Source organism: Homo sapiens, chromosome 4 (assembly GCF_000001405.40).
Source record: "Homo sapiens chromosome 4, GRCh38.p14 Primary Assembly".
Taxonomy (NCBI): domain Eukaryota; kingdom Metazoa; phylum Chordata; class Mammalia; order Primates; family Hominidae; genus Homo; species Homo sapiens.
The window spans coordinates 109,449,895-109,473,874 of record NC_000004.12 but is presented as its reverse complement, the minus strand read 5'-3'; the positions used below and the strand labels follow the sequence as shown (position 1 = coordinate 109,473,874).

At 37.4% G+C, this 23,980-nt stretch overlaps 1 protein-coding gene and 1 pseudogene across 18 annotated transcripts in view, besides 2 other annotated features; one reads left to right on the top strand and one right to left on the bottom strand.

The window, feature by feature from the left end:
- Nucleotides 1-23,980, bottom strand: part of SEC24B (SEC24 homolog B, COPII component) — a 107,082-nt gene that overhangs the window by 67,022 nt on the left and 16,080 nt on the right. For 12 of the 18 annotated variants that reach the window (NM_001300813.3, NM_006323.5, NM_001318085.2 and 9 more), the window contains 2 exons: nucleotides 10,231-10,974; nucleotides 689-871 (listed from right to left, as the gene is read on the bottom strand). In NM_001300813.3, the coding sequence (NP_001287742.1) occupies nucleotides 689-871; nucleotides 10,231-10,974 (927 nt within the window). Of the gene's footprint in view, nucleotides 1-688; nucleotides 872-10,230; nucleotides 10,975-22,101; nucleotides 22,247-23,980 lie in introns of all 18 variants that reach the window. The other 6 variants (XM_017007652.3, XM_047449519.1, XM_047449520.1 and 3 more) reach the window with 2 other exon arrangements.
- Nucleotides 19,593-19,762: an enhancer, noted in NCBI's record as "experimental_71781 CRE fragment used in MPRA reporter constructs". NCBI's record gives its function as "activates a minimal promoter by MPRAs in K562 erythroleukemia cells, with activity observed for both the introgressed and non-introgressed 4:110375354 variant alleles {active_cell/tissue: K562}" and the evidence as "EXISTENCE:reporter gene assay evidence [ECO:0000049][PMID:34662402]".
- Nucleotides 20,318-20,898: an enhancer, noted in NCBI's record as "OCT4-NANOG hESC enhancer chr4:110374133-110374713 (GRCh37/hg19 assembly coordinates)". NCBI's record gives its function as "activates a minimal SCP1, AML or CMV promoter by ChIP-STARR-seq in primed H9 embryonic stem cells {active_cell/tissue: H9 hESC(primed)}" and the evidence as "EXISTENCE:reporter gene assay evidence [ECO:0000049][PMID:30033119]".
- On the top strand, nucleotides 22,807-23,103 carry RN7SL55P (RNA, 7SL, cytoplasmic 55, pseudogene; annotated as a pseudogene).

Sequence of the window (23,980 nt, the reverse complement as noted above, 5' to 3'; positions counted from 1 at the left end):
AATCATCTCTGATCAAATAAAAAATGCCATATATTAACCTGAAACATCAATACTTTGGAATTTTAGCCAGACAGGAAAAACAAAAACAAAAACAAAAACTGCCAAAAGAAACAATGTGGGGAAGCAGGGTCAAAACAACACATTTTATTACCTTTTACTTACTTAACACATGGAGAATATTAAACAAACAATAAATCATATAGTTCTTCAATGACGCAAGAGTATGGGTTACAATTTCATTTTCACCCCCTTTCATTTGCAAAATTCTGTCAAAGCTTACTTTCTGTTATCAATAACAAAAAGCACAGAAATAATCAAATAGGATATGGAGAGTCACTAAATAATAAAGTTTTGGCTTCTCTATCCTAAAAGAAACTATAATAACCTTTAAAAAATAGGAAATAAATGTCCCATGACAGAGGAATGAAATAACCATTATACATTGACACAATGAATAATTAGCCATAAAAAGAGCAATAAAGACTCAATATATATGAAGAACTATGTGTAATAAAAAGAAAAGCAAAATACAAAATGGTATGTAATTATGTAAAACATATATGAGACACTGTAAGTTAATATTCCAAAAGTTGTGTTTGGATTGAGATTATAAGTAACTTTTTTTCATATCTTCTATAAATACGTATGTGTGTCTGTGTGCATATACAATAATAAATATCTCAAATACCTTTTTGTTGTAATAGCTCTGATGGCTGTGTAACTGAGGTCACAGGCTCAACTGGGTGATTTGCAGTGGGAGGTGTTCTTGTTGATGAGGATCCTGAGGATCCTGATAAAACAGTGGATACCACTGGGCTGGACTTGGGAGGCTGAACATTTTGCATAACAGGACAGGATAAAGAATCTGCAACTGAAGAGAAGAAACTATTTCATCCACAGAAACTTGAAATATATTAATATATAATATAGTACCACATACAATACTATATATAATGTATATAATATATAATATAATTATATAATAATATATATCACTAACAAAATAGTTTATCTGAAGTTCTTGTAGAAACTTCAATAGCATCACATTTACCTAGTATATCTAGAAAAGGTGGTACAAATGATTTTTTAAAAACTGAAAAATTACTCATCAAATATTTTAATAAACTTTAATGACAATTTTCCTAAAATATTTCGCAATCTTCCTTACCTTCTTAAACAAAGTGAACTCAAAAAGCTTTTATTTACTAATGATCTCTATGAATACTAATTATTGCACAGATTATTGTACTATGCAATGGTGACTCAGGTAAGGAGGTGAGTAAGAGGTTTTTGACTCTGCAATAATGTGGTCTCTGAATTCCATAAACACTTCTAGTATCAGTTCAGATCTCATTTTGCACTGTAAACTGCTACTTCTCATTTGCTGTTTCTAACCAGATGCCTTATTTCACATGTAACTAAGTAAGAGCCTAACCATAATACGAGGTTGAACTTCTGGAATAAAGTGCATGACTCATCATTGGTCTTTGTGATAGCTCAAAATACCAAATGTCTCCTAGAAGGCAAAATCGTTCCCGGTTGAGAAATACTGGGTAAGTTATTGAAGGTAATCTTCAAGATTATCCAACCAAGAGATAACTGAAAAACCTATGGCAAAAGACTACTGGTGAGCAGTCACGATATACTGAATAAATCTACATATATATACCTGCACATGTATGTATGTGTGTCTATGTATAGTGTGTGTGTATATATGTAAACAACCTTAGTTCTGAGACTGAAACAAATAGGAATATGGTGACAAAACAAAATGTGTTATATGTCCTAACAGTGTAAAAACAACATAAGCACATATGAGGAATGGGGAAAGAAGGTAGTCTAAATATGCTGACTGTTTCATCATTTTTAGTAGGAAGACAAACTATCATTGTGGAAGATTAAAAACATCATCACAATATTTTACAGTTCCTTTCATCAATATGGAGTCTATTTTACCACCCTTTGAATCAGAGCAAACCCTGTGACTGGCTTTAATCAACAGTATGTGGCAGAAATAAAAGTGTACAAGTCCCAGACCTCAAGTCTCGAGGGACACTGCAGCTTACACCTTTCCACTCTGAAATGCTGCATGGATCATCATGCAGGGAAGCTGGTCTAGCCACGTACAGAAAAACATAGGAACCCTAGTGAAGAGTCTGCACCAACTGCTAGACATGTGAGTGAAGCCATCTTAGAATCTTCTAGTCCCGCAAACCTCCAGCAAAATGAATTCACATGAGTGAATTCAAGAAAAACCTGCAGAACTACCCAGCAAACCCACAGAACCAAGAAAAATAATAAATCATTGTTATTTTAAACCAGCAATAGATAACTGACATTATCACTAAAACTGCCAACATAAAACAGTGATTAAGAATATTTAACAGTATCCAAGTAAAAACTGAGAAAGATATAATTGTCTAAAATTAGGGTCGGGTGTGGTTGCTCATACCTATAATCCCAGCAGTTTAGGAGGCCAAGGTGGGCAGATTGCTTGAGCCCAGGAGTTTGAGACCAGCCTGGGCAACACGGCAAAACCCTATCTCTACTGAAAAATACAAAAATTAGTCGGGCATGGTGGTGCGCATCTGTGGTCCTCAGCCACTGGTGAGGCTGAGGTGGGAGGATGGCTTGAGCCCAGGAGGAGGAGGTTGCAGTGAGCCAAGATCTTGCCACTGCACTCCAGCCTGGGTGAAAGCGGGAGACCCTGTCTCAAAACCATAAAATGAAATCATATCAGGTATATGTGTACGTACATGTATGTATTGATACACATGTATGTATGTGTATATATACATATATATGCATAATAAAATAAATACCCATGAACTCAGCATCCAATTTTGAAAATAAAACATTTCCAATATTGTTGAAGCTCTCAATATGCTCCTCACAGAAGGCATTCCCCTGCCCCCTCCTGAATCATGTTTATTATTCTTTTGCTTTTGTTTTCAAATAGTTTACCACACATATAAGTATCTCTAGACATTATTTTTGCTCTTTTTATAAACTTTATAACAATAACATACTGCAGGTATTCTTCCATATTTCCTGTGCTACATTCCTGGGATTCAGTCATGTTAATGAGTGCAGCTCTACTTCATTTTCACTGCTATTCAGAAATCCAATGGAAGAATATAATTTATTTATTCATTCTGCTATTAATGGACTTTTAGGTTATTTCCAATTTTTTGTTTTCACAAACAGTGCAACTATGAATACTCATGCACTTGTCCCTGGTATAGATGTGCAAGTTTCCCTAGGGCAGAGCTTCTATACATAGGTGCCACAGCTCAAATATGTGGAGGTGTGCAGCAAGGGATATCGAATCCCTCAGCCCTGGGGACAGCTCTGTAGGAAATGAGGTCTTTGGCCTAGAAAGCAGACTAGTCTCTTTGTCCAGTATCTCAAACAAAAATCATTTGCCATAGAGGCATCCATCTAAAAGAAGTGGTGCTTTATGGCCCTCATACTCAAAGTGTAGTCTACAGACTAGCAACACCTCATGTGGAAGTTTGTTAGAAAGTAGAATCTTAGGCCAAGCCATAAAAGACCTGGTGAATTAGAACCTACATTTTAAACAGGATCCCAGGTGACACAGATGTATAGTTTGAGGAGAACTTCTCTAGAGTATATGGAAGACAGATAGCTGTGTTGTGGGATGTGGTTATTTTCAATCTACTAATGCCAAATTTTCCTAAAATATGAATGAATATAGCCTCCTACCAAGAGTGTCTAAGAGTTTCCTGTTACTCCACATCCTGACCATTCCTTGGTATTGTTAGACTTTCTAATTTTTACCCATCTGTTAGTAGGTATAAGATGATATCCCATTCTAGTTTTAATTTGCTTTTCACTGTTTATTAATGAGATTATGTTTTCATTTCATCTTCTGTGCAATGCCTATTCAAGTATTTTTCTTTTGGTTGTTGGTCTTTTCCTTATTAATTTCTATGCAGCACTTGTATATTCTGGGTAAATACTGTAAGCATATACATTTTTTCCCAGTTCGCAGCTTATGTTTTTCTTTTTTTCATGTTGTCTTTCAATAAGGAAAAGTTTTAAATTAGAAATGAGTTGCGTTTATCATGTTTACCCTTTGTGGCTAGCATTATGTGCATTGTCCTTAAAAATTCCTTCCCTACTCCAAGGTTCTAGAGATAGAGATTTTCTCTGAGAAGTTTTAAAGTTTTGCCTTTTTGCATTTACACATTTACTTCACCTGCAATTAATTTTATACATGGAGACTTTATCCTTCAGATTACAGCTGAAGTATTACTTTCTTAGGGAAGACTTCTCTAGGCTTCATGACTAATAGGCTAAATGCACCTAAAGTAATGCTCCGAAGTACCATATACGGTTGCTTCATGTTGCTTAAATAATAATAGGAATTTTACATTCATTTGTGTTTATCTGGATAATACTTGCTTCTCTAAGTGAATTGCAAACTTTATGAGGATAGCACTAAGTGTTTTTACTCACTATTTTATCTCCCAACATTAGAACAACTCATGGAACATAGTTAGCTTTCACGTATTTGTTGGATGAATGGAGACAAGGTCTACTAACATTAAGGACCAGGGAGGCACACCAATCAAGAAGCTGCTCCTTTCACAAAGGGAATTTGACAAAACAAACAACACATAAAACTGGACTACGCGAAATGCACTGCTGCACTGTTTAGTTTCTGAGGTGTGATTTCTAAGAGAAGGAAATCATGATTCAAGAATAAATATTTTCTTTTTTTTTGATAATTATGGCAGTTCCTCAGTTAATTTTTTACTTTTACTCCTGGGCTCAAGTGATCCTTCTGCCTCAGCCTCCCAAAGCGCTGCAATTACAGGCTGAGCCAACATGCCGGGCCTTTAGTTCTTAGTAGCTCCTTAGTTCCCTGTTAGTTACTTAGAATTCACTTCTTCATGCATAACACATATGATTAGGTATGTAGATGGCCTCTGAAAAGAATACTCCTTTATTCATATATCCTGTAAAAGTAAGCCCTATCTTAAGTAATTGTGCAAAAAATTCTTTAGAAACTAGGAGCGATTAGTACCACTACCCATTCAAGTTGTTCAAGCTAGAAATTTTAAGTCATCTTGTATTCTTCTTTTTCCTTCATAAACTACATCAACAAATCCTTGAAGTCATCTCTATCATGTCTTCTGCATAAATAAATCCAGCCCAAGTTATCATCCTTCACCTAGATAATTGTAATAATTCCTTTCCAGCTCGTTTTCCTGATCTAGGTTCTTCCTCCTCCAGTTATCTACTACACTGTTCACAGAAGAAAGTTCTGAAACACAAATCTGATAGTGCCAACACCTTGCTTATAAACTTTTAATGGCTGCTGATTACATATAGGACAAGGAGTATGTTTTTCTTTCATTAATTCCTCTCACCTATCCAAATGCCACAGTCCAGCAGAAATTGAGGCTGATACTCTGGAGAGGGGATAACAGCTAAAGCCAGAATCTGAAGTAAGTGAACACAAAGATGAACATCTCGTCTTCTCAGCTTGGAGAGGGAGAACATGTAGAAAAATTTACAAGTAGTGGGCACAAAGTTGAAAAAAGATGAAAAAAGGTTCAAGAGTATCTTTAGAAAAACTGAAGGAATAAGTATGTGAGGGAGTAAAATTACGCTATTCCCATAACTCTACAATCACACAAGTTTCCAAAACTAAAAATAGTCTCTTGTACTGCACTACTTGTATTTTGTATGAGCATTTTATTTTTCCAATGTGGTTGTCTAATTTATTTCTTACTTATATTTCTATGTCCAAATAATCATGTCCTACAAGGTATTTGCTTTTGCTTTTCCTCAGGCACATTACCAACCAGAGATGACAGATACAGTATTAACTTATCAGTGACTATATCTTAGTGTCATGCGTGTAGTGGACTTTTATTTAAGAATTATATACCGCTTCTCGGCCTTTTGGCTAAGATCAACTGTGAAGAATTATATAAACACTTATTATTTTTACTCAAGTAGCTTTTTAAATGCTTTTATATAAAACTGTGCATCAGAAAACAGCATTAATCAGGCACTACTGTTTTATAATACGCTATCAAGATGTGGTCCTTATTAAGCAAGAAATTTTCAAAATAATTAATTTTAATCAAAATAATTTTTCTGGCAAAATTCTACATCTTGGCAACAAGACTTATCTTGCTAATTTTTAAAAGTATGTGCTTTGTAAAACAAAGGGATACTAAAGACAAATTAAGAAAATTATTTTAAATGAATCTACAGTTTTGGTACTCATCTTGCTGTCAAAAATGGGCATCTTTACATCCCCAAGTCACACTCAGGCAACTTCACCTCAAACTAAAAAAGAGCTTCTGTACTTATTATCTATTACAATTCTATACTAGGTTACTTGACTATACTAGAGATTCAACTACAGTGACAGTTTTAAAATTTTTAAATGGCCTAACGAAATGACACCTTTTAAACACTAGCCAAAAGTGCAACCAACTTTAACAACTAATGTAACACTCAAAACATACATACTTGGAGCGGACTTTTTTTTTTTTTTTTTTTTTTGAGACGGAGTCTCGCTCTGTCGCCCAGGCTGGAGTGCAGTGGCGCGATCTCGGCTCACTGCAAGCTCCGCCTCCCGGGTTCACGCCATTCTCCTGCCTCAGCCTCCCGAGTAGCTGGGACTACAGGCGCCCGCTACCACGCCCGGCTAATTTTTTGTATTTTTAGTAGAGACGGGGTTTCACCGTGTTAGCCAGGATGGTCTCGATCTCCTGACCTCGTGATCCGCCCGCCTCGGCCTCCCAAAGTGCTGGGATTACAGGCGTGAGCCACCGCGCCCGGCTGGAGTGGACTTTTTAATAAAATAATTGAAGTTCTAGTACTGAATTATAATGTACTAATAGGCTTTTCTAAAATAAAGCAAATGAGATAATATTTAAAGGTCCCCTTTAGTCTATGTTTTGAATATGAATTCATTAGCTGCCTAAAAATAACAGTATGTATCCATCTGTCATATTTTTGATATTTGCTTAACTCAGGTTTATACTTTTGCATCTCCAACTCTATAAAATGACTGAGGACTTTTAGTATATCTGAAATGAAGATAGTATAATCAAGTAGTAAAGAAGGTAATCATTTTTGTCAATTATTCAAAGGTTGAATTTAACACAAAACTATTGGCCGGGTGCAGTGGCTCACGCCTGTAATCCCAGCACTTTGGGAGGCCAAGGCGGGCGGATCACAAGGTCAGGAGATCAAGACCATCCTGGCCAACATGGTGAAACCCTGTCTCTACTAAAAATATAAAAAATTAGCCAGGTGTGGTGGCGGGTGCCGCTAGTCCCAGCTACTCGGCAGGCTGAGGCAGGAGAACGGCATGAACCTGGAAGGCGGAGCTTGCAGTGAGCTGAGATGGCGCCACTGCACTCCAGCCTGGGTGACAGAGCGAGACTCCATCTCAAAAACAAAACAAAACAAAACACAAAACTATGTTTAATACTTAAGATTTTCATTTTAATGTGAAAATATAATTTGAGTATTGAAAGCAATTATGTTGCCAGACTTTCTAGAACATTAAACTCAGTATTCCCTTACCCTGTACCTAGTACAAGGTACTTTTACCTAGGCTCCCCAAGGCACTGCAACAAATTCACAGGTTTCCAAGGAATATTTTAAATCGTTAAGAAAAACAGTGATATGTGTCAGATACCTTACGAACTACTACTAAGTTACATGGGGCACTTGAAAAATATTGAAACGTATCAACTGAGAAAGTTTGGGAACTTTGGCAATATTTAATTTTAAAGTAGATTTTTAAAATAACCTCTTTTTTTTTGAAATGAAGCACGTTTGTCATATTAACCTGAGATAATATTTAATTTGTCAACCTCTGAACTTCAATTAAAAAGTAATTTACCAATCTAAATGCAGGGGAAAAAAACCCACTTCTGAACACAAATTAAATTCTAAAATATATTCATTATGGCATCCACAGTACAGTACTAAGATTAAAAGAATGAAAATATATCCTGCCTCTCTGCCTACAGGACCCATTAGAGCAGTTACTCAAACAGAGAATAGTTTTGTAATTATTCTCCCCCTTTATTTAATCTTTTCTTAATGACAGGCCTTTCCCAATTACATGTTCTGTTCATTAGCCAAGTGACCCCATATTTCCCTGACACATCTCAATATAAATTAGTTCCATCCAGGGTGCTATTTCCACCTCAGAACTAAGATAGGAATTACTTGTATTTCCTTTGTCATGAAAGTCACAAAATCCTTAAGTTGGAAGGACTTTAGGATAAGTGGATCTGTAAATAGAATGTTGAAAGAAGAGAGAGGAAAACAATTTCTAGAGGACAGAAAGCCCTGGTTCTGAGGGAGACAGAAGAAACTGACCTCTAGGCCAAGCTCTGTTTCTACCATTAATGACCACAGGCAATTCAACTTGGATAACTTTCTTCATTTGTAAAACAAAAGGACTACAGTAAAATTTAGATGTGTTTCACAGCATCACTGAAGATCCAGTTAGAAATAGATTCTCAAGAGTACCCTGGAGATTCTATTCTAGCTCAGTAATTTGTAGTTGAATATCACAATCTGTGCCAGTGATTCTGGTAGACAGCCAGATTTCGGAACTGTGACAGACACTTTGAGTTGACTCACCCAAGTCAGTGCTAACTCCCTTTTTTCTTGTTCGCCTCTACTATGGATGCTAAAAAAAAGATTCAATATTCATTTTCCAGCCTTCCCTGAAGCTAGGAATGGTCTTTTAAACAGCTATGGCAAATGATCTGTAAAATGAAGTCTGTCAATGCCACTAACCAGTCCCCTTTCCTCTCCCTTCTTGGTGCTTTTAATTCTGACTTAATGTCTATAGGTACAGAAGTATCTTGTTTCTATAACCTACATGCTGCAGGTGGCAGAGTGGAAAGAGAAAAAAGGATACCAAGAACAGCGGGATCCACTGCATCCACCTAGACTTGTGATGTGAGGAAAATACCCCCTTTTTGTTTAAACTACTATTAGCTGCTTGTATCTGAAAGCATTTCTAAACGACATAGCAATGAAAGAGTAGATGATCTCAAATGTACAGCTTGGGTCTAATATTAAAGTTCTAATTTTAAATAATCTCATTGTCCAGAGAAGGATATCTTTCCACAGCATCTTTGACACATGGCTATCCAGATAATGATACACAATCTAAAGGCATCATTCCAAAAGTTACCACAGCTTTACCAATTCCCATTTTTTACATGCATTTTCATTCGGTTCAAAAGCAGATTCTGTTAAATTCAAGTCACAAATTGAATTAAAATGAATATATCCTAGGGAAAGGAAACACTGCACTTAAAAAGCCACATTGGGCCAGGCACAGTAGCTCGCGTGTTCGAGACCAGCTTGGGCAACATGGCAAAACCCCATCTCTACAAAATTAGCTGGGTGTGGTGGCGTATGCCTGGTAGTCCCAGCTACTTGTGGGGCTGAGATGGGAGGATCGCTTGAGCCCAGGAGGTCAAGGCTGCCGTGAGCTGAGATCATGCCCAGCCTGGGTGATAAAGTGAGACCCTGTGTCAAAAAAAAAAAAAAAGGGCAAGCCACGTCTTACATACATAATTTTTAAATGAAAAAATTTAACAACACCTTGGTTTAGGAAGGTCAGAAGGGCTGAATACCAGGGTATTCTTCATGCATCTTCCTTTCCCTTCCCCATCTTTCAGCCTAACTTACTAATCTGAAAATGAGAAACACTGTTTACGTGCAGGAAAGATGTCTTCTGCAAAAGTCACTAATAGGGGCTAACTTGGGGAAACCAGTGCACTGCTGCAAACCATCCTTTTTTCTAAGTAAGTGGGGCTCTGGCTAAAAAAACAACTGTCCCAAGGTTGAACTAGTATAAAAGAGAAAATAGTGGCCAACATATCCTCAAAACAGACCCTTCCATTTTGCCCTGTATCTAATTCACATTAAAGACAACTATTGCAGATGTATAAAATATATCAATAAATGTTGACTGATCATGGCAAGGAACCAAGCTAGACAAGGCAGATGGTTGGGTGGCTAATTGGGAATGGATGAGAAGAAAGGGTTCAAAGAGGTGCTACAAAAAGCCACAATAAATTAGCAAACTTCCAGTTTTTCTATTAGGCAATATCACCTCTAACCTTCATGTAAATAATAACTTAATTGGGAATGCACTGATTTTCAAACATGTTTTGGTGAACTTTTCATTCAACCTACCAGTAATGGTTGGGTTGTTGTTCGCTACAGCCAGGGATCCTGTGTGGTTTCGGATGAGATTGTCTTGAGTCGATGGAAGGCCTGGAGATGACCACGTTAGAGTACTGTATCCTGAAAGACTTTGCTGCTGGTGGTGCTGTTGTGATGGTAGAGGTGGAAGTGGCGATGGATGGCTGATAGCTGTATTTTGACCAGAGAATGAATTATCTTTAACTGGCCTAACAGTCGGAGCATTCTGTGAGGTAAACATTTGCCCATATGTATCACCAGCAGGCAGAGAGGGATATGAAACACTAGGATACGCGGCATTAGAAACAGTTGACATAGCATAATGACCACAAGTAGAGGGAAATCCCTGAGACGCAACAGAAGAGCTGGCAGAGTACATGGCTGGACTATTGTAGTGATTCACAAAAGAGGAGTATGGTTGGGAGGCACTCGTATGCAAATGGGATGCTGACGATGCAGCACCTTGGAAAGATCCTAGAGTGGATCCCACAATATGAGGGGCAGGAGGACCCCTGCTGTACAACTGCTGTGCTCCTGGTTGCTGGTTCACTGTGTTAGGAGTCACATTTTGTGTTGGTACTGTATAGAGAGCAGAGTAGTAATCACCACACTGGGTATCCAATGGCAATGAGGTCATTTTCCCAGGTCCTTGAGAGTAATGTCCTGAGGGAGCAATATAGTTTTGATGATGCAATCCATATCCAGATGGAACCTGCATTTGATTCTGGGCTGGACCTGAAAAAGCAAGTATTTACAGGTATTTGTAAAGAGATAACTAATTTTTAAAAATAGCCCCCATTTAAATATTGAAGCAATTAACTTTCTTTTCCATAATCCCAACTTATTACAAAAGGTATACACTGTTATAGACCCATTATGGTAGCCTGCCTCCAACATGGCCCCCAATGATCCCCACCTCCTGTTATTCACACCCTTGTAGTCCTCCCTCACAATGTACCAGGACTGGTCTGTATGAACAGTAGCATACGGCAAAGGTGATGATATGTCACTTCCATGTTAGCCCAGTCTTGAGCTCTGGCTCTCTTTCTCTCAGATACCCCAGTCTGAAAGAAGCTAACCTGCCAAGCCGTGAACAGCCCTATGAAGAAGCCCATGCAAGGAGGAACTTAACTCTCTGGCCAACAGCCAAAGAGAAACTAAGATCTGCCAACAACCACGACTGAGCTTTCAGGCAGATCCTCCAAACTCAGTAGAATCTTGAGATAACTATAGCCCAGCCAACAGGTTATCTCATGAGAGACCCTGAGCCAGAACCACCTAGCTAGGCTGCTCCCAAGTTTATCTTCCTGAGAAACTGTGAAATAAATAGTTGTTGTTTTACAAGTTGTTAAGCTTAGGGGGTATTTTGTTATGCAGCTATCAGTAACTAATATACCCATCCTGGAAGAAGTTTAAACTTTGAGACAGGGTCTCGCTCTGACCCCAGGCTCTATAGAGTGTGATGGCTATAGAGCGCGATGGCATGATCATGGTTCACTACAGCCTTGTTCTCCTGGGCTCAAGCAATCTTCTCACCTCAGCCTCCCGAGCAGCTGGGACCACAGGCGTGCACCATGGTGACCAGCTAATTTTTACTTATTTATTTTTTACAGAGACAGGCTCTCACTGTGTTGCCCAGGCTGGTCTCCCATACACCACGGCCCAGCCAATGTTTCTAAATTTATTTTCTTGTAGAGACAGGGTCTCACTGTGTGCCCAGGCTGGTCTTAAACTCCTAGAGTCAAGTGACTCTCCTCCCTCAACCTCCCAAAATGCTGGGATTATAGGCATGAGCCACTGCACACAGCTAAAACTTTTTTCTCAGTTTTTATTTTTCCTAACTAGAAAAGTAACAATATACCCACTGTAGAAAAAATTCAAACAATAAAGAGTATGAATTAAAAATCTCTGCCTAGTAGCTTATATCCTATTTCCCAGATATAGTTACAGTTAATGCTTATGCATCCTCTGTATATCCATGTATCTATGTAATGCATATGTAAGCATGTATATAATTTACTTGATTTTTTAAACACACAAAAAGGATATTACAGTTCCGCAACTTGCTTTTACTTAATATATGCTGAATATCCTTAAGTATTAGCATATATAAATCCTCATTATTCTTTTAAAAATTTACATATAGTACTTTATTGTAGAGATATAACATTATTCACCAAATCTCCATTGATGAATATCTTGGGGTTGAACTAATCTATATTTATGAGGTCAACTTTTATGATGAAGCTATAAGACAAATTTCTAGAAGTCAAACTGGAAGTTCAAAAGGTTTATGTTTTTAAAATTGACATTATTGGCAAATATCTCTTAAAAGGTCTATCAATTTATACCTCCCATCAATAATGCTTCATATTGCCTCATTGTCCCAATACTGACTATATATTAATCTCTGCCAATCTGAAAAGTGAGAAACACTTTAGTTTACAGTAGTTAACTTTGAATGATGCTGAGACTCTCATTTGGGTGTCTTTCTCTGCTGTTTGCTTTTTCTGTAGCATTGCGATTTCCTTAATGATTTCTAGCTGTTCTCACACAGTAGAAAATTAGCCTAATGTTATGTGCTGTAAGTATTTCCCCCAGGTTACTGTTATGTTTTCACTTTGTTCATGGTATCTTTTGCTATAGTTTCTTGATTATGTAGTAAAATTCTTTTTTTATGCTTGACAGATTTTTAAATCATACTTAGTAGAGGTTTCTTCATTTCAAGATTATAAAACTATAAAACCATGTTTTACTCTAGTGTTTTATACTTTCATCTTTATATATCTTTGATAAGTATAGCATATATTTATTTTATTAATACCAACAAAACATTAATCCTAATATTAGTCTTATTAATATTAATATATTAATATATTACATTATATGCCATTCACTGTTCTAAATGCTTTACATATATTAACTTCTTTAATCCTCTAAAGTAAATAGTATTATTATACCCATTTATCAATAAGTGAGCCACAAAAGTCAAGATGTTTAACACAGTTACATGCTTAGGAACTAAATGGGCCGGAATTTGAATCAGGCAATCTGGCTCAAGTTTATGCTCTTAACCAATGATCTGCTGTCCTTTGCTACAAATGGCCAATTGTCCCAAAAACAGAATTCTAGTTTTAGTTCCAATTACTTTTCTTTGGGTTTTGGGCAAATCTTAATTATCTTGGAATCTAATTTTTCTGTCTTGTGGAAGGAAACAGGTATCTGTGCCATATCTCAAATCAAAGGATAATTTAATAGAAAATTGACAAGATGTTTTAGCTCCACTGACACAAGTACACAAAGGAAGTACCACTACACTCCTTGCCATAATAATGTATTAAAATACTTGTTTATAAAAGAGATAAGAATAAAGCATACATTTTCTAATTGTTTTCAATTTGTACTAAGTAATGTAATGGAATCTTCATTTCTGGTCATGTAATATATATTCTACGGCCAGCATAAAAATAACTTACACAGTCAAGCTGTAAGGGAAAAATATCATCTACATTCCTCCTATAATTCCAAGAAGTATACAGAAAACCAAAATACTGATAACGCTATTTTACTAGGTGTATAATTTACTTTTCTTAGATTATTTTAGATGGTAATAATTCATCTGAAAGAATTTATTTACTTAAGGAAATAAAGTCTGTTAGGATCTTTCATTAACACGACAAAAGTAAAATGTTGTCCTCCTTTCTCCTATTTAAATATATTAAAAGATGGATCTGCTACCTTTCACTGTAGTGTCAGAAAACTCTACACTAGTAGAATTTATCAATGAAGAGCCAAGTCAGATTTAGAGAAATCTGTTCAAATATCTACCCACTTAGTGACTGATCTGGCATATCCATGCTACATGATCTGAAACGAGAAATAATCATTATGTCCCAACTATTCAAATGTCATTCTTTTAAAAATAACAGGAATGTCCTAGCTGCTGAAATTTATCAGAAGTGAGTTGCCCACCAGAATAAGTCTATTTACTTTCTAGCCTATCAAAGAAAGGTACTTACTCCAGGAAAACATGGGGGGTGGGAATATCTAATATATCTAATCATATGTGGATGCTTACTATTTCATACTTTATATCAAGACCTAAATGTTCCCAATGTATAAAAAAGTATCTGAAAGTAATTAAAGTTAATAAAGACAAATGTAAATCATTTTTAACATGTATTCAGTATTTTTAAATTACTGAGATATTTTGCTTTTTTGTACTATTTCTTCAAAAATCATTATGTATTTTACACTTATAGCACTTCTCAATCTGATCAACCATATGTCAAGTACTCAACAGCCATGTACAGCTAGTGGCCACCACACTGGATGGTGAAAGTCTACAGCATATGTCTATGATTCCAGTTGTTTCTGCCTCTCATGACAGATTAAATTTTCTGCCCTCAGTGTTTTCCCCCTATTCTTTTCTCGTGTACCTGCTTCAGTTTTCTTCCACATTTATTTAAGCTCTATGGCCTCCAAATATTGTATTCCAAGAAAGAACTATTTTTTCGAAGAGTAGAGCAACACAGTGCATTATGTACACATATACATATATTATGTTTAACTTATCTGAATAAAAAACTCTTGTAGTAATTATTCATCTGTGATCTTTCTTGGGATTCAAAATGATTCTGCAGCATGTATGAAAAGACTGCTGGTATTTTAATACTTCTAAAATAGACATAAAAGTTGTGGAGGAAAAAAATTTGTTACATATATAGTAAAATTTCTGAAAAATAACTTCAGAAGTACTTTTCTTATCACAAATGTGATACAGTCATTGTAAAAAAAAAAAATACAGAAAGTGATCAAATAAAAATCATCTTAATCTTCCCGAGATAACCTGCTAACATTCTGATGTATATCCACCCAGTATTTTCTTTTTGCATATATATGTATAATTTAGTTAAGCAAAAGTGGGATTATAATGTATCTTTTAAATGATTCCTTCATTTAGCATGATTTGAATATCTTTCCATCATTATTTTTAATGTCTGAATAGTATTCCATTACATGAATTTACCATATTTTAATCAATTTTCTATCTGCCATTTAGGTTTTCATTTTTTTAACATAAACCACCTAATAAATAGATCTGTAGGTAATTTTTGTGTTCATTCACTTTACTAAAAATAACTTCCTACCAGTTGCAATTGTTGGGTCAAGTCTCTAGTTGGCAGCTTAACTGTGCAGAAGTGGGAGATGTCAGGATGCCCAGCAATAAGGGAGGTAGAGATCAGAATCAAAGTGGGCCCAGAAGCCAAATTTGGCAGAGACTGCAAAGTCTTTATAAATCTATTCCAAAAATGAAAAGAAAATATATTCCAAAAATTGGGGGAAAATGTTACCAGTAAATGAACAGACAAGGGATATCGAGAGAAATGAAAACTATTTAAAAAATATTCAAAATAAAACAAATAAATATGCTAAATGGTCTCTACAGTATGGCAGAAGACTTAATGAACCTTGATTAAGTTGACCAACCTTGAAGATTGGTTAAGAAAATGATCTAAGAAACATAGAGAAAAAAAAAAGGCTGAAGAAAAATGAACAAAATTCGAGAGACCTGTGGGACAACACATAGCAGTCTAACACTTGTAATAATCAGTAAAGCATGTAGTGGGCTAAAGAGTGGCCCGCTAAAAGATTATGTACACATCCTAATCCCCCCAATCCTGTGAAAATTACATGGAAAAGTGTGATTATTGCCTTAAATGACAAAAGACATGCTTAGGTTAAAGATCTGGGGAAGAGGAGCCTCTCTTGGATTATTTGAGTGGGTTCTAAATGCAATCACATGTATCTTTATAAAATATACATACAGAAGAAAAGACATACACATAAACAGAGAGAAGGCAATGTGAAGTTGGAGCACAGAGTGATGTAGCCACAAGCCAAGGAATGCCAACAGTGAGACAAGTAGGAAGAGTCAATGAACATATTACTCCCCTATGAGCCTACAGAAGGAGCATGACTGCTATGGTTTAAATGTTTGCTCCTCCAAAACTCATCTTGAAATTTCATTGCCATTGTAACGGTATTAAGAGGCTGTGCCCTTATGAATGCATTAATGCCACTATCACAGAAGTGAGATTGATATAAAAGGGCAAGTTTGGTCCCCTTTTCTCTGCCCTCACCTTTGCCCTTCTGCCACGTGATGTTTTCTGCCATGTTATGACACAGCAAGAAGGCCCTAGCCAGGTGCTGGCACCTGATCTTGGATTTCCCAGCCTCCAGAATTGTGAGAAGTAAATTTCTGTTCATTATAAACTAGACAGTCTCAGGCATTCTGTCATAGTAGCACAAAATGGACTAAGAAGTAGACCTGCCAACACCTTAATTTCAGACTTCTAGACTTCATAACTGCAGAAAAATACATTTATGTTGTTTTAAGCTACCTACTTTGTGGCCATTTGTTTCAGCAGTCCTAAGACATTAATAAAGATATAGAACAGAAATTCTCAAAGTGTAGTATACAAAACTCCAGCAGTGCCAGAAACTCTTTGGGGAAAATCCATGAGTAAAAACTATTTTCATAACAGTACTAAGATGATATTTGCCTTTTTCACTGTGTTGACAATTATACTAATGATACAAAAGCAATGATGGCTGCAATGTGAACCCTGGGGCACAAACTGAAGCAATGGCACCAAGCAATACTAGCAGTTACTATATTCTTCACCACCATGCACTCACACATAATTTTATTAGATTAAAAATGATGGTCTCTGTGAAACATAAAGCACTTTTATTGCACACTGAAGTATAAATGTTATCTTCAGGAAAAGTATTTGTTTAACTTAGCTGTGAGCTCTACCATTGAACAAAACTTCAGCAAATAGAAAACAACAATATATTGAAAGTAAAATACATTATGACCAAATGGGGTTCATATTAGGAATACAAGGCTGACTGACCATTTGAAATACATTCAATGTGATTCAACATATTAACAGACTTAAGAAAAAGCCACATAATCACATCAATAGATACAGAAAATGCATTAGATAAAACTTGGCATCCATTCATGATAAAAACTCTCAATAAACTAGGAAGAGAAAGAAACTTTCTTAACCTGATAAGGACTATCTACTAAAAACCTATAGCAAACCATACTTAATGGTAAGGGACAGACAGACTGCTTTCGTCCTAACATTGATTACATGGAAGGCAAGATGTCCTCTCTCATCATTCCTATTCAATAATGTACAAGATGTAACAGCCCCTTCAGTGAGGCAAGAAAAATAAATAAATAGTAGATAGACTGGAAAGGAGTAAAAAAAAAAAAAAAAAAACAAAAAAAACCTGTCTTTATTTGCAGAATGACATGACTAAGTAGAAAATCCCAAAAAAATCTTCCAAAAAATGCCTGGAATTAATAAGTGAGTTTATCAAGGTCATAGAATATAAGGTCAATATACAAGAATCAATTATGTCTCTAAAGATCAGTAGTAAACAAGGGGAATTAAGATTTTAAAAAACAGTATCATTTATAATAGCACAAAAAGAAGTACTTAGATGTAAATCTAATGAAATATGTTCAGAACCTATATAAAGAAAACTACAAAACGCTGATGAAAAGAAGCAAGGATTTAAAGAAATGGAATGACATACTGTGTTCATGGATTAGAAGACTTGATATTATGATGTAACTTATCTCAATTTTGATCTTTAGATTCAATGCAATCATAATAAACAACACCAGCAGGTTTTTTTTGTAGATATCAACAAGCGGATTCTAAAATTTCTATAGTAATACAAAGTTACTAAAAACAAAGAAAAACTGAAAAGGAACAAAGTTGGAAGACTCACATTACCCAATTTTAAGGCTTACTTTATAGGTTACAACAATTTAAGAAGTGTGGTATTGGTGAAAGGACAGATACACAGAATGCAACAGTCTAGAAACAGACCCATAAAAATACAGTCAACTGATTTTTGACAAAGGTGCCAAGGCAATGCAATTGAGGAAAGATAGTTCTTTCAACAAATGGTGCTGGAATAACTAGATATCTACATGTGAAAAAAAGAAAAGAACCTCAACATATACCTCTGGTCTTAAACAAAAATTAAGTCAAAATGAATCACAGGCCGGGTGTGGTGGCTCATGCCTGTAATCCCAGCATTTTGGGAGGCCTAGGTGGGCGGATTACCTGAGGTCAGGGGTTGGAGACCAGCCTAGCCAACATGGTGAAACCCCATCTCTACAAAATTAGCCGGGCATGGTGGTGCATGCCTGAAATCTCAGCTACTCGGGAGGGCTGAGGCAGGAGACTCGCTTGAACCTGGGAGGCGGAGCTTGGAGTAAGCCAAGATCGCACCACCACACACCAGCCTGGGCGACAAAAGTGAAACTCCATCCCAAAAAAAAAAAGAATCCTAAATCTCATTGTAAATTAAACACTTAAGAGAAAATATGGATTTTTGAAGGGAATCTGGGATTGACAATGAATTCTTACTACAGAGGCCAAAGGGGCAGCTCCCCTTGGCCCTCTGAAGGTGTGCTGAAAAATCAACTTGCAAAAGGCAGATTAACAGGATAAAAGACATACAAATTTATTTAACGTGTAGACCCAAAGATAGAGGAAACTGTCCATTTTTATCCTTAGGTTCAACAAAGTACGGACAGCCATGCAGAAGTATAATTGGATAAAAAGGCTATAATCTAATGTGAACAGACTGAATGGGGAAACCCAGGAAGGCCTATCTGTTTAGATTCTTCTTGGCCTGAGCACACATTCTTTCTTTCTGCTTATGGGGCAGGACCCTCTCTGGAATAGGGGTCTTATGACCTACATTCAAACAATGTAGGTGAGATAATTTCTTTAAGGCCAGTTTTTACACATAGGACAGAGGGAAAGTTAGAATAATATTTTTAGGTTTTGTGGCTTGCTTTGGGGAAAAAAGGTTCCAGTTTCTATGACCTGCCTTGGGGAAGAGGGAATCTGGTTTCTAAGGCTAGCCTCAGGGGAGAACGGGACTGAGAGACAGGCAGGCAACAGAAAGTCAGAGAAAAACTTTTGCTTCTGAGGCTACTTCTGAGGCCTTCATTTTGGAGTTTTGTTTTATTTTTCTTTCTTTTTTTTTTTTTGGAGACAGAATCTTGCTCTGTCACCCAGGCTGGAGTGCAGTGGTGCGATCTCAGCTCACCCCAATCTCCACCTGAGGGTTCAAGTGATTCTCCTGCCTTACTTTCCCTAGTAGTTGGGAATACAGGCACCCACCACCATACCTGGCTAATTTTTGCATGTTTAGTAGAGACAGGGTTTCATCATGTTGGCCAGGCTGGTCTTGAACTCCTGGGCTCAGGCAATCCTCCTGCCTCGGCCTCCCTAAGTACTGGGATTATAGGCGAGAGCTACTGCACCCAGCCTGAGGTTTCATTTTCTGAGCCTCAACATTACCTATGATACTCAAAGCATAGTCAGCAACATAAAATATTGAGAAACTTGACTTTACCAAAATGAAAAAAAAAGTTTGCTCTGTGAAAGGAGCTAAGGATTAAAGACAGATAAGACACAGTTGGCCAGGTGTGCCTGAGGTCAGGAGTTCGAGACCAGCCTGGGCAACATGGAGAAACCCTGTCTCTACTAAAAATACAAAAATTAAACGGGTGTGGTGGCGCATGCCTGTAATCCCAGCTATTTGGGAGGCTGAGGCAGGAGAATCACTTGAACCCAGGAGGTGGAGGTTGCAGTGAGCTGAGATCACGCCATTGCACTCCAGCCTGGGGGACAAGAGCGAAACTCCGTCTGTTGCGGGAAGTCAGGGATACCGAACGGCAGGACCTGCTGAAGCCGTGACAGAAGAATATAAATTGTGAAGATCTCATAGACATTTATCACTTCCGCAATCAATACTCTTAATTTCCTATGCCCTCTTAATCCTTTCATCTTCGTAAGCTGAGGATGTATGTCGCCTCAGGACCCTGTGATGACTGCGTTAACTGCACAAATTGTTTGTAGAGCATATGTGTTTAAACAATATGAAATCTGGGCACCTTAAGAACAGGATAACAGCGATTTTCAGGAACAAGGGAGATAACCTTAAAGTCTGGCTGCCTGTGGGCCAGGCAGGCAGAGCCATATTTCTCTTATTACCGAACACGGGTAAGAGAAATATCGCTGAATTCTTTCCCCAGTAAGGAATATTAATAATTAACAGCCATTCGGGGGGGGGGGGGGGGGGGCCTAAAATGGCCACCCTAGGAATGTCTGCCTTATGCAGTTGCAGATAAGGGATGAAACATGCCCTGGCCTCCAGCAGCACCCCCAGGCTTGCTAGGATTAGGAAATTCCAGCCTGGTGAATTCTAGTCAGACTGGTTCTCTGCTCTTGAACCATGTTAAGATGTTTATAAATGACAATGCATGCACAGCGGGACATGGAAGTTCATTAGTGATTCTAGTTTTGCCCTGACCTTGAGATCTCACCCTGATCTTCTGCCTTGTGATCTTTTGTTGCCCTTAAAGCATGGGATCTCTGTGACCCACATCCTATTAGTACACTCCCTCCCCTTTGAAAATTGCTAATAAAAACTTGCTGGTTTTAGGGTTCAGGGGGCATCACAGAACCTGCCGACATGTGATGTCTCCCCCAGATACCCAGCTTTAAAATTTCTCTCTTTTGTACTCTTTCCCTTTATTTCTCAGACCAGCTGACACTTAGGGAAACAGAAAAGAACCTACGTGAAATAACGTTGAATTATTGGAGGCGGGTTCCCCCGATATCTGTCTAAAAAAATAAAATAAAATAAAAATAAGACACAGTCATGAAAATGTTCAGGAAAATTAAAAGAATAACACAGAAAGAAAATGTTTGCAAATCAGATACTCAATAAAAAACTTGTATCCAGAATACACTAAGAACTCTTAAAACTCAACTAAAAAAATAGACAACCCAACCAAAAATTGGTAAAACATCTGAAAAGATAATCACCACAAAAGATGTAAGAATGTAAAATATACATGAGAAGATGCTCATCATTAGTTATTAGGAAAATACAAATTAAATTACAACAAGACACTATCAAAAACCGAAAATATCAAATGCTGGCAAAGATGTGGTGCAAGAGAAACATTCACTCATTGTTGGAGGGAATACATACTAGTATAGCCACCCTGAAAAATAATCTGGCAATTTGTTATAAACTTAAGTATATATTTACTATGTAACCCAACAGTCCCACTGTAGTTATTTACCTAAGTGAGCTGCAAACTTGCGTTCACACAGAAGCCAGTACATGAATGTTTATGGTAGCTTTTTTTATAACTACCAAACACTGGAAACAACCAAGATGTCTGATAACAGAGGAAGGGACAAATAATCATGGTATACACATACAACAGAATACTACTTAGCAATAACAAGGAACAGAATATCAATTTGTGCAGTAGCATGGATGAATGTAGCTAAGCAAAAGGAGCCAGACCCAAAAGGCTACATATTATATGGTTCCGTTTACATGACATTCAGAATAACAAGGATAGAGAACAGAGCAATGGCTGCCAGGGGCTGGTGAGAGGTACTGACTATAAGAACTTTTTTTTTTTTTCATGGTGATGGAACTGTTCCAGATGGTACTGCAGTGGCATAATAGATACATGATTACATATGTTTATCTAAACCTATACAGCTGTACTCTACAAAGAATGAAAGGAAATATACTATAGGTAAATTTTCTTTAAAAATCAACCAGGATATCAAGAAAACCTAGGCTAGAATACAGACTGTGACAGATCAGTCTAACTGTATTACAAATGTATGATAACCTAACTGAATGATGTTTAGGTAATACAGATACAGATAGACACAAAAATAATTATAGATGGGTTAGCATATACATATACATACTCACATTTCATAGCTCTGTCGACTTTCAGAGCCTGAAGCAGTGACACACCCGTAGTAATAAGCATATCCAACACCCAGTTCTTGGTTTCTAAATATCATCCTCCAATAAAAGAAACCAGAGTCCCTTGGACATAGGGCTGATTTTGGTACTGGGATAAGGCAAGTACAAGATAGAGTAACTTGTAGTGTCAGAAAGTAAGGAAGTGGCCAAACAACAAAAAGATTGGGGGAAAAGGATACAGAAGCCAACTTGAAAGAGCTCTCAATGGCCACAGCTGCAATAATCTGAGCAACAAAAGTAAGTATCAATAGTATTGGCACTTTGGGAGTCAAGGTAGGAGGATTGCTTGAGGGCAGGAGGTTGAGACCAGCCTGGGCAACACAGCGAGACTCCATTTCTTTAAAAAAAAAAAAAAAAAATTAGCAAGGCAGATGACACCAGCTACTTGAGAGGATCGCTTGAGCCCAGAAGGTTAGGGATGCAGCAAGCCATGACTGTACCACTGCACTCCAGCCTAGGCAATGGAGCAAGACCCTGTCTCCCTCTCTATATACAGCATTGGATTATAGCCCAAATAATAAAATAAATATTTGTGAGTTTATAATAACATACACAAATGATTGAATAAATTTTAAAATGGGATTAAATGGGCAAATCTCCCTTATAAGAAACAGGGAAAGAGGAAATTACCATTAGAAATCCACAGTAGCTGGTGCTGTGGCAAATATTTGTAATCCCAGCTACTGGGAAGGCTGAAGTGAGAGGATCCCTTAAGCCCATGAGTTCTGGGCTGTAATGTGTTATGCTGATTGGGTGTCTACACTAAGTTTGACATCAATATGGTGACCTTCCAGGAGCAGGGGACCACCAGGTTACCTAAGGAGAGGTGAACTGGCAGAAATAGGAAATTAAGGAAATCAAAATTCCCATGCTAATCAGTAGTGGGACTACAACTGTGAATAGCCAGTGTACTCCAGCCTGAGCAAGAGGAAGACTCTGGCTCTTTAAAAAAAAAAAAAAAAAAAAGAATTGCACAGTAGTAATTGATGCAGGTGAGAGTAAGCAAAACTCATGAGTGACATGCTAAAATTAGTGAGTAAATTTTTTTTTTTTTTTTTTTGAGATGAGTCTCACTCTGTCACCCAGGTTGGAGTGCAGTGGCGTGATCTTGGCTCACTGCAACCTCCACCCCCTGGGTTCAAGCAATTCTCCTGCCTCAGCCTCCCAAGTAGCTGGGATTACAGGTGCCTGCCACTGCGTCCAGCTAATTTTTGTATTTTTAGTAGAGATGGGGTTTCACCATCCTGGCCAGGCTGGTCTTGAACTCCTGAACTCATCATCCACCCGCCTCTGCCTCCCAAAGTATTGGGATTATAGGTGTGAGCCACCGCGCCTGGCTGTGAGTGAAATTTTGAGAAGAAAGAGAATGGTAGAATAACTTCAAAGTATCTCCCAAAGAATATTTCTTAATTACTGTGGTGATTTGAACATAAGCCCACAAATCATTTGGTATACCTCACTGCAGCAGGTAGAGTTTAATTCCCTTTTTTCCCTACATTTTTAAGAGACAGGGTCTTGCTCTGTCACCCAGTCTGGACTACAAAGGTATGATCATAGTTCACTGTAACCTTGAAGCCCTGGGCTCAAGTGAACCTCCCATCTCAGCCTCCAGAGTAGCTGGGACTACAGGTGAGTGCAACCACACCCTGGTAATAATTTTACTTTGTTTGTAGAAACAAGGTCTATGTTAGCCAGGCTGGTCTCGAACTCCTGGCCTCAAGTAATCTTCCTGCTTCGGCCTCCCAAAGTGCTGAGATTACAGGTGTGAGCCACTGCATCCAGCTTCTCTTTCTTTTCAAAGTAGGCTGGAGTTAAGTGAATC